This window comes from Homo sapiens, chromosome 1 (assembly GCF_000001405.40).
Source record: "Homo sapiens chromosome 1, GRCh38.p14 Primary Assembly".
In the NCBI taxonomy this organism is placed as follows: domain Eukaryota; kingdom Metazoa; phylum Chordata; class Mammalia; order Primates; family Hominidae; genus Homo; species Homo sapiens.
The window spans coordinates 207,372,552-207,384,886 of NC_000001.11; positions in this window are offsets into that span (position 1 = coordinate 207,372,552).

Below are 12,335 nucleotides of genomic sequence, written 5' to 3' on the forward strand. Positions count from 1 at the left end.
TGTTTTGATATGTTTATCACATTTTTCTATTAAGAGAAATTCCACTTAGAGTCAGTTCCTTTCCAAAGTTGATTTTGTTGGCTCTCTCTCATGGCATTGCATTTCTTCACATTTTACAGTTGTGATTTGCAAGTTTTTTAAGTAGACTTTTTAGTTTGTTTCATTCTTTGGTAGATTGTATTAATGTTTCTAATTCTTTACTCCTTCCCTTTTACAGAATTATAACTGGACATCTTTTGCCAGGTGACTTTTCAGTGCCTTCCACTATAGTAGATGGAATATACTTCCCCACTCCATTGAGTCCATTTTTTGTTGGCTAACCTGTAGTTTTAAGATTGTAATTTTTTTAAATCTAGTTACCTTGATTGCTTTTTAGAGAGCTATTAGTCCCAATAACTTAGACCACCATTATTTAAAAATGGAATTCCTAACCACAATGTGTGCACCTCATCATAGGAAGGAACACAAATGGGGGAGTAGAAGAAAACAGAAATGTATTAATAGGCGACAGTGAGTACTTCAGCTTTATGTGTAATGTTTTATTTCTTGTATTACAAAGTAAAAGATATGAAGCATTTGACTAAAAATGTTAATTTATATAATTTGAATGATGGGTACATGGGCAGTTGTTATATTTATATATACTTTTATGTATTCTAAATTTTTTTCTCAAAATAAAAAAGAGAAACAGTCAAGGGTTAGTATTGTGTCATCAAACTCATTACAGACCTCAATTCATTTTGTTTTATTTATTTCTGAACAACATAATTTGAGGAAGTAAAGCATACTTTAAGGAAATCTGTAGAAGGGCAAAGTAAAAGCATTTGAAAAAGTCTCATCACCTGAAAAAGGCAGAGAAAAAAAGAACAAAAGGAAGAAGTGTTCTAGAGGTCTCATCTAGTTTGTATAGGGAAGAAAGTTGAGGTAATACAGCTGTGTGGGAAAAGGGATAGATTCATATATACTTGTTCTTGAGAGCAGACATGTTGTTAACAATGAATGAAATGGAAACACACAACTAATCTTTGAAAGAATGAGATGAACCTGAAAAAAAAAACAACAAAAATAAGAAAAAAAGGAAATAATGATTTAAAATAGATAATGAAGAAACTAAGATACAGACATTAAATAAAATGTAAATGGATTGTTTTCTTTCACTAAAGCTTAAAGATTAGAAAACAAAAGCTGTGTATGAGGGACATGGTGAAATAGTAAAGAAGGGTGGAAAATAAAAGATAAGCAAAGATAAAATGTAAGGTCAGACCAATTATAAAAGGCAAAGATTTATGAAAAAGGTAACATTCATAAATATGTATATATCAAACTACATGCAACTAGCTAAATACATAAAGCAAAGTCATTAGGAATTTGATAAGCCTAATAAAATATAATTATGACTGAAGATTTCAATACATCTCTACCAAAATCAAACAGATTTTGTAGAGAGAAAGAAACCCAGGACAGGGAAAAACAACCTTATATTATCTAGAGACAATATGTTGGCTTTCCTCTACACTAAGACATTTTGATACTGGTGCTTTCTTGATTTCTTGATCTTACCAGAACATGTCAAGTGAAGGTTTTACACAACTACAATGCCACTCCTATGGGCTGACAGCTGTAAAGAGATGCATCCCAATTCTAGAGATGTTAACACGTGAGAAAAATGTTTCTTAGAATCAAAGATATGAGGGGTTTTTCCATACATCAATGAAACATTTGCTCAAAAACGTCATATACTTGGCCATAAAGTATATTCACTTTTTTAAAAGGCCGTGTTGATAAATATGAAAAAGAGAGAAGGTGATCAACAAAATCTTAACCACTTGAAAATTAAGATGCTCCTAGATCACCCTTATATCAAAGATAAAATTTAAAAAATTAAAAACTATTTAGGAAAGAGTGAAAAGAAGAACACACTAAATTATTTGGAACACAGAGAACTTTTCAGTGGAACTTGCAAGCTTTAAATGCCTTCGTTATTAAGGAAAACATTAAAAATAAAGGAATTTGAACTCATCTGTGGAAACTAAAGAGCAACAAACTAAATAAAAAGTTTTAACATATTAGTCAAGATACATATATAAACATAGAATATCAAATAAAACCTGACACCTCAATCTAAGGTCTGTAAAAAACTTTAAAACAAAGATTGGAATCGTAAGAGTTAAAGAAATATAGACATTTTTGACAATGCAAAAAATGTAAATAATGGTTAGAAAAAGTGGAAATAAATTGCTAAAACACAAAAGAGAGATTAATGGTTTGTGTCTATAATAGACAAAAAGCTCTTACATTGATAGGTAAATGACATAAAACCCAATACAACGTGGACAGGTATACTGATAGGAAATTTTTAGCAAGGTAAATCAGATTGATCAAGAACATATGAAAAGATGTTGACATTCACTAGGAGTCAGAGTAAAGAAAATCAAAATAATTTTCCGAGGTGTGAAGTATTAGAATGAACACAGAATGATGGCATTTCAGGGCTAAGGCTGGAAATGGCCCCTCTAAGTTGCCATGGGAACTGAGTAAACCTGGTCTTAACCATGTATTGGAGAAGGAATCTATCCACAAACCAAGGAGGAGTGTGGGTGCGGGTTGGGACCGGGCTGACCAAAGGCCGCCGGAGAGGAGGAGGCCTGGGGATCACAAAATGCTTGAGGATGGCACTGCGTCCTGGGTCTGTACAGTATGGTTTGCAATAAAACTCAAAATCTTCCAGCCGAGATAAGAAAAAAAATAATTACAAATTACATGAATACCTACCTAGACAATCCAATTAAACTCTAACAAAATATGTTGGATTTAACAATGGACCTAATATTAGGTAAATAGTGACAATAATAAATTGGATATGACAATGCAAAAATAATCCTGTTTATGAGTGATAATCATCTTAAAATATCGAAGAATGTAGGTACCCAGGAAGATTCTTCAAATATGTGAAGGAACTATTCACATTTCTTTAAAAATTGTAAGAACAGCTCTGAAAATTTAAGGTAAGTCATTTCCTTGTTGAAAAATGTGAAAATAACTAGTCATCACAAATTTAAAAATAAAATCAATGCAATTCCAAACAAATTCCAATGAAGTTTTTGTTGAAGTGAGCTGGACAAAAGATAATGAAGGTTTGTATGTGTGAAAGAAATAATTCAATTGTATTATTGATTATATAAGGAAAATTCATTATTTCTGAAAAATTATAATTTACTTTAATCATTAGCTTTTTAATCATAAGTGTTACTACTATATGAACAAAAACAGGTGAGGTTGTTATTCATAAGTCCAAGAAATGACGTTGAATTTTGTTAGTTCTCAAAAAAAAAGTAACTTTTAGGAATGAAGTTCATGCAGTGTTCTAATTTATAAAACAAACATTAGTTTTCAGTCAACCATTGGCATATGATATGGTACCCAGATATTCTAATTGTAGTAATTTTTTAGTGCTACATAATTTGTAATATAGTCTAAGATTGATGAGAAGTAATTTAGAATGACACTGCTTATGTAAATTGTTAATCATTTTAGTTGAGCATATATATTAAATTTACATAAATTCAAATAGTATCATAGATAACATCAAATATTTATGTTTCATTTAATTTAGGCTTTTTTAATGAAAAAAAAAGTTTTGGCACATACTAAAATCAAGACCAGCTACATAATTTGTAGAGCCCAGTTCAAAATGAAAATACAGAATCCCTTGTTCCTAAATCATTAAGAATTTCAAGATGGTGACCACAGGGCTCTAAACCAAGGGCCCTTGTGAGCATGAGTCCCAGTGTGATTATAAGAGTTGCATGCCCATGAAGCCAGCCCTGACTAACATACCATGCATGCATTTATTTTTACACTGAAACAGCTGAGAGAAGACATAGAGCTTTTTAATACCCCAAATACATAAAACGATACAATTTATCCAATGGTTTACCTTGATTAAGGTTATGATGAACTTGGATTATAAATGTAATTATTTAGCATGTAAGAGTAAAGCTTTGTAATTCCTGGTTTAAAATACTTATTTCAGAAGTTTTCAGTCTTTAAAGATACAAATTTAGGTTTAAAATTTATTTACCTTTTTACAGAAAAAATGGATGAGAACTTAAATTTCCATTTTTCTTGTTTAAATACTTTCTGAAGGACAGAAAGAGTTTAAATTTGGGAAAATAAATTTTCAATTAATCATTTAGATGTTTTTATGCATAGACTTATGAGTATTTTTCTTTTTTCTTGCCAAAAATGTGACATCTATTTTTAACTCAATATCATTAACTAAAGGGCTTAAAACTCAATTGAATAATGTCCTTTTAAAATGAATTTGGCAGGAGCTGTTTCCAAGGAGAAAAGACTTTTGAGATACAGTTCTCTAATAAATTAGTCTATTTTATTTATAAAAACTACATTGACCTGGTGACTGTAGAGCCTTTACTTTTTCCCCAGCAGGTGTGTTTTCTTATACCATGACCAAATATGAAGAATTAGAAAGTTTTGCTTTGTTTCTTAATTTTTTGCAAATTTTTAGAGTCATTCTATATTTAGACAACTATTAAGTGATTTTTAATGCCAATTAAAACAGGGATTCCATTATTTAAGGGACTTATCAGAATTATCTAAAAACACACAAACTAGTCTAGATTTTAAAAATCCTCCAATCATAACCTGTACCTACCCTGGAATTATTTCATTTCTGAAGAAGTCTGCAGTAATAGGTGCGTCATCATCAAATGCGAAATCTCTTTTTGGAGTTCTGGGAATTCCCCATTCCTCAGGGAGGATTCCAATTTTGTTGGAACTAAAAATTATACAAATGTTGAGGGGAGGGATAATTTTTAAGAAAAAAAATACAAAACCATGAATTAAAATTTAGTTTCTACTGCCTTGGAAGGAACCATACAAGGAAAGCCCCCTGAAGCATTAACATCAAGGGTAAACCTTCCTCTGGCCACATCCCACCTCTCAATTCAGGTTGGCATTCATAAAGGGGAGGAGGTAATCACCCTTAATCAATGTCTACAATACTTTTCTTCCATGGAAAATAAAGAACTGTACATATTCTGAACAAGTTTAGGTAAGCTGATAGAAGGTTGTCTTTCTGATTGCCTGCTTGGCACAAGGTTCAAGAGGGAAGCACATACTCGGAAGAAAAAAAAAAAATCCTTCCATTCAGCTACCCTGAGCTTCCACTTCTGCTCAACCAGACATTCATCTGCCCTATTCTCCAGATGGTGGCAGTTCCTTGCAATGAGGAACGCCATCGATCTACTAAGGAGAGGGCTCTGCTTTTTACTGAAATGTCATATTGAGGCAGGAGAATAGAGTCTGGAGACAGGGAGCCTAAGGCCAACCCACTGCTGACTTCTTGGAATTGGACCAAAAGGAAAACCCCACCTCTTCATGCCCAAGTGATAAGGGGCCAGAGGCCCCCTTCTTCTACAAAACCCCCTTTCCCCTTTGTCACAAACAACAAATGCCTCTAATTAGTCCCAGGCCGAACCTTCACTTCAGCCTCTGATTAGTCGGGGATCAATCCTTCATTTGCATAGGGTGTAACCAATTGGAGACCTCTAAAGTGTACCTAGTGGTGTTACCAAATTCTTTTAGCTTAATGAAAACCCTAAAGAACATTGCAATTGGGGCTCTTGAGCTGCTTGTTTGAGCCTGCTCCCGCTCTGTGAAGTGTACTTTCTTTTCAATAAATCTGTGCTTTCGTTGATTCCTTCTTTTATTGCTTTGGTTGTGGGTTTTAATTATTTGTTCAGCCAGCCAAGAACCCAACTTGCAGTCAAGGCTTTCCATCCAGTAGCAATATTTTGTTAGCTGGCTTACTTATGTTAAGTGTTGCTCACTTTCAATCCATGAATTTTATTTTACGACATTTTAAGATTCACCAATTTGGCAAATTTTTAAAGTTAATTCCATTTTTAATTTTTGTTAACAAATGTATTTTCACAAAATTCGTCTGATGTTTTTCTCTTAAAATTGATTAATTCTGTTCTAGAGTATATCACATGTATTTCTGTCAATAATAGCTTTTACTTCTCATAATTTTGTTTTATATGTGCATTTTTATTGAATTAATCTTTCATTTTGATAACTATATACTTAATAATAAAGGACTTTTGGACATTGCTTTTAGTGTATCATGTGTTAAAGCTAAATGTCTTATTTATTTATTTTATTATACTTTAAGTTCTAGGGTACATGTGCACAAAGTGCAGGTTTGTTACATATGTATACATGTACCATGTTGGTGTGCTGCACCCATTAACTCATCATTTACATTAGGTATTTCTCCTAATGCTATCCCTCCCCGCTCTCCCCACCCCACAACAGGCCCCCGTGTGTGATGTTCCCCACCCCATGTCCAAGTGTTCTCATTTTTCAATTCCCACCTATGAGTGAGAACATGTGGTGTTAGAATTCGTTTTTTAGATGTTTACTGCTCCTATTGCAAATTAGTATTGACGTGAATTCACAGAGCTTGAAAGACTTCCAAGCTGCATTTTCAGCTTTCGCTCCTCAGCCTGCTCACCAACATCCAAATAATCCTTCAATTTTCATTATTTAGATGTCTGCGTCTTTCTTTTGTCATTATTTTATATAATGTTTATTGGATTGTGAAAATGAATAAATAATTGTTGAGAAATGATTTGTGGTGCTTTGTTTGATTTCAGTTTCCTATTGAATCATTCAGAAACAATTAAATATTTTGGCTTGTAGTGCCAAAGTAAAATATCTGAAATTTTTCTAGAATTTTGGACAAAGTTCCAGACATTTCTACTAGCATGCACTGATGACACCAGTTCTCTCTGTATAGAATTCAGTGACATTTTCAAATAAATATTTCTAATTGACACAACTTTTCGTTTTAGGAATATTTGTGTGTGTGTGTGTGTGTGTGAAGAGACAAGGTATCACTCTGCTATTGGAGTGCAGTGGTGCAATCATGCTCACTGCAGCCTTGAACACCTGGGCTCAAGCAATCCTCCCACCTCAGCCTCCTGAGTAGCAAGGACTATAGGTATGAGCCACCATGCCCCACTGATTTTTTTATTTTTATTTTTGTAGAGACAGGGTCTTGCTGTGTTGCCCAGGCTGGTCTTGAACTCCTGGCCTCAAGCGATCCTCCCACCTCGTCCTCCCAAAGTGCTTGATTACAGGCATAAGCCACCAAGCACAGCTATCAATACTATTTTTATCAATAAATAAGTATAGATTTTGCTTTAATTCAGATGTTACATTAATTACATTAATTCTAGCACTACCAAATCATTAAATTACAAGGAATTTTACATTTAAAGTAAGTAAATAAAATATATATTTATGTCAAATAAAATTTGGAAATAGATTCAGTTCTATAAGAGATTTTAATATATGATGAAGAAATAATAGATTATGGTATGGTTTGTTAAATTAATAGTGCTGCCATAATTGATAATTGATTAAAACAATAATCCCTTGCTTTGTAAGTTTTCATAAAAGTTATTTTCTCATTTTAATAGAATATGTGTTGTGACAAGTGGTCCACAACCCTAGATAACAATGAAAAACATATCATTATTATTTTTTGAAGTGATATTAAGCATTTTACTCTGAAATTGCTTTAGTATTTTTAACTAATCATAGTGTTTAAATTATGATGGTTTATTCTCAGTTTTAAAATTCATTTCATCAATACATTGATAAAAGATTGTTTCAGAAACTTTAAAATATTTAAAGGTAGAACTTATTTAATATGTGCTTTTAATTATGTCTCTTGATGATTATAACTATTCTTTATTTCAGCATGAGTTTTACAAAATTTTAGTCCTGTTTTGGTGAATCTATGAATGTTCCCACTTTTAAAGATACAACATTTAAGTGCCATTTGCATCCATTTTCTTTTTCAGTATTTTTTTCCTCAATATGAAAGGATACTTAAGAGTTTTCTGGCATTTCCTGATGTTTCTCAGTTAAGACTTTTACTGCACTTTTTTTTTTTTTTTTTTTTTTTTGAGATGGAGTCTCACTCTGTCACCCAGGCTGAAGTGCAGTGGTGTGATCTCAGCTTACTGCAACCTCCGCCCCCTGGGTTCAAGTGATTCTCCTGCCTCAGCCTCCCAAGCAGCTGGGACTACAAGCACATGCCACCAAGCCTTGCTAATTTTTTTTTTTTTTCTGTGTTTTTAGTAGAGACGTGGTTTCACCATATTGGTCAGGCTAGTCTTAAACTCCTGACCTCGTGATCTGCCTGCCTCAACAGGCATGAGCCACCGCACCCGGCGACCTTTTCTACTATATCAGGTGATGTTCCAGGCTGTAGCACATTGATATAATCTTATTTTCTCAGAGATTCAGAAGATTCATATTAATAATAGTAAAAAGAGGAACATTAAGAAACATATTCAGAATTTGTTGGATGTTTATTTTCAATATTAATACACCTTATTCACTAAGTATCAAAGTACTACATATTTACTAGTCACATATAAATCTCACTCTAACCATAATATCAAATCAAACTAGTTAGAAACAAGCAGGTATGAGCAAAAGAAGTGTTATGATTTAAATTATCATTAAAAAGATAGTTAATATGCATATTGGATAAATATCCACGTTAAAACAATTTTAAGAGTGAGGCAAATCGAGTTTTAAAATTTTTACAAGCCATTATTTTATTACACAGGAATCTTATTCCTGCACCAAGGAAAAAGGAAGCTCAATTAGCTCATTCAGAACTTTTCTTCCTTAAGTTCATGTGACATTACTTCAATTATATCGTGAATTTAAAGGAGGACATCTCAAAATATTATTCATAGTTAACAAATTCCAGGTCATTGGCATTATTATATGGCTCTGTGTTCAATACAGGTTATTCTATTGATTTAATTTGCTTAAATGTTTTCACTCATTCAAAATAATGACAAATTGAAATTAAATATATCTTATTTGAAAAGAGTTGACATATTTCCACTAAGGATTCTTCTTTTCCAGGAACAGGAATAAGGACAACTTGACACTTTGATCTTCTTTACCAATAACTGATCTGTTAAAAATAACTTGGGTACTATGCTTACTACGTGGGTGACAAAATAACCTGTACAACAAACCCCCATGACATGAATTTACCTATATGACAAACCTGCACATGTACCCCGAACCTAAAATAAAAGTTTAAAAAACAAATAAATACTTTGGAAGGTTGAGGCAGGTGGATTGCCTAAGCTCAGGAGTTCGAGACCAACCTGGGCAACACGGTGAAACCCTGTCTCTACTAAAATACAAAAAATTAGCCGGGAATGGTGGTGTGCCTGTAGTCCCAGCTACTCAGGAGGCTGAGGCAGGAGAATTGCTTGAACCGGGGAGATGGAGCTTGCAGTGAGCCGAGATCACGCCACTGTACTCCAGCTCTGGGTGATGGAGTGGGACTCCATCTCTTAAAAAAATAAAAAAAATAAGTAAATAAATAAAAATAAATGGTCTGGTTACACATTTTTTTTCACTTCTTACGTAAGTTTTGGTAATTTATTTTTCTTAGAAAAATTGCTTTTGAATCCGTTTTTTCATTTATAAGAATAATTTGTGCCTATAATCACAGTACTTTGGGAGGCTGAGGCAGGCAGATCACTTGAGGTCAGGAGTTCAAGACCAGCCCGGCCAATATGCTAAACCTCGTCTCTACTAAAAATACAAAAACTAGCCAGGCATGACGGTGCATGCCTGTAATCCCTGCTACTTGGGAGGCTGAGGCAGGAGAATCACTTGAACTTGGGAGGCGGAGGTTGCAGTGAGCCGAGATCACACCACTGCACTCCAGCTTAGGTGACAGAGAGAGGCTCCACCTCAAAAAAGAAAAAAACAAAAAAGAATAATTTGTTATTTTATAATTATTTCAATTTCCTCCCTTTTTTGCTCATTTGTTTTTTCAATGAAAATCTACTGAGGGCATAGCAAGTTTCTAGGTACTGTTCCAATATTTAGTATATATTGGTGAATAAAATGGATGAAGTTTCTTCTATTTTGGGTCTTCAATGTTAGTGAGGAAAGACATGGGAAAAAGCAGCAAAGTGATTTCAGGTAGAGTAAGTGCCATAAAGGTAATATAGCAGTGTGATAGGAGAGAGAATAAATGGTAGAAGGAATTTTTTTAGAGTGGTCAGAAAAGGATATTTTGAAAAATTGACATTTAAGCTGAGACCTGAAAGATGAGGAGGAACCAGCAACACAGATGTGGGAAGATCTAGGAAAATAATATCTCCGGAAGAAAGAAAATACCAAAAGCTCTGAAAAGAAAATGAGGTTAAATTATATTTATTTCTATATTTTCTTTGCTAATTCACTGTATTTGTGGTTTGCCTCTTTTTTCTCATTGCTTGTGGTTTAATTTTTATTCCTAAGTCAGAGAATTAGCATTGAATTTGTTTCTTCATTCTACTACTTGTTTTCTTTTTCTTTTTTTATTTTAAGGCGTTATTAAAATATGATTGACAAATTGCACTTGTTTAAAATGTACAATCGGATACATTTTTTACCTATTTATACCCCCATGAAATCATCATCTTCTGTTACTATGAAGATACCCTTTGTGCTCTTTTCCTAAGCAGTCCCTCCACTTGGTGCAATCAATGCCATCCACTCTTGCCTACTCCAGGATGTGTTCTTGCAATCATTCCTCCTCTTTATCCTCTGGAATCAGTTTCTTGTTTCTATATTCTCCTCCTCTTGCAGCCCCAAACTTTCCAAAGAAGTTCTCTATTCTCATTATCTCTGATTTCTCACCTGCCTTTCTCTCTTGAATCCAATCTAATTAAGCCCCCTTTCCCATCACCCCACCAAAATGGCTCTTGTCAAAATTACTGATGACTTCCATGTTACCAGACTGGATGGCCAATTCTTGAGATTCAACTCTCAGCAGCTTTTATTATATATAAATTTCTTTATTTGTTAGTTGTTACAACCCATAGAATGTAAGGTCTTTGTTTTGTTCACTGCTATATTCCTAAAATCTATCATAGTTTGTAGCACATAGTAAGGGCAAGTTAACTATTTGCTGAATGAATGGTAATTGAATCTCCTTCATGTGTAGTTTTCTAGTGTATAATCTTCTCTATAATATTTTATGTTCCCTTTCTCCACTGGGAAGGGGAGGCATGTCAATATCATTTCATAGGTCACATGAGTTTTTTTTCCTAGTTACTAATATTCTTAAAAAGATAGGATCTTTAGGGCATATACTGAGTGGGGTGAGTCAAGGAGAGTGCTTCAGTATTGTTGACTCTAATCATCTCAGTAATTTTTCGTTTGTTTGTTTGAGACAGAGTCTGACTCTGTCGCCCAGGCTGGAGTGCAGTGGTGCTATTTCTGCTCACTGCAACCCCTGTCTCCTGGTTCAAGTGATTCTCTTGCCTCCACCTCCCAAGTAGCTGGCATTATAGATGTGGACCACCATCCCCGGCTAATTTTTGTATTTTTAGTAGAGATGGGGTTTCACCTTTTTGGCTAGGCTGGTCTCGAACTCCTGGACTCAAGCATTCCACCCACCTCAGCCTCCCAAAGTGCTGGGATTACAGGCATGAGCCACTGTGCCCAGCCTAATCATCTCAGTAATTGGACTCTAGGCTAACAGGAAGTCTTTCTAAGTCATTAAGTATTGTACAGTATGTTTCCTCATGGAAATTTGTATAACAGCTATTTCAAAGCTGTCTGCTCTTCACTTTTTCTCCTTCACTCTAATGTACTCAAGCCTGATTTTTGCAAAGAAGGCATGACATTGCTTTTTGTTACATTTGTTACTGCTAAGTCCTTCTTCCCTTGACACTCCAAAGTCTCAAATGGGCTATCGATACTCCCTACTCCCAATCTATTCTATTTATTTACCTGAAATATTATATTTTTTGTTTACTTGCTATTTTATGTATCCCCCAACTAGAACACAAGCATCATGAGGAGCTCTGTTTATTTTATTCGTTGCTGAATTCTTTGTGGCTAGAAAAGTGCCAGGCATGTTATTGGCTCAGTAAATGAATGTATGAATCTACTTAAATACCAGGTGTTATATGTGCCTCAGTAAGGGATATGAAAAGGCCACAGGTGCGATCCATCCAAAATTACTTTCTCTCAGCAAAAATTCCATCTTGGCATCCAGAGGTTTATTGGGGTTTGTTACACATGCATTCTATTCAATACTGTTCATTGAAAAGAAAGATTCAGTTAGCCTTTCTACCTTCTTTATTATCTATGAGATTTGTTATAATTCCACCTTGGGGGGAACATGGGTGATTTTTAACGTAATTTGTTACCCATTGTTTTGTTTTCAAAATAATGTTTTATTTCTAGATTTAAAAGGTGTA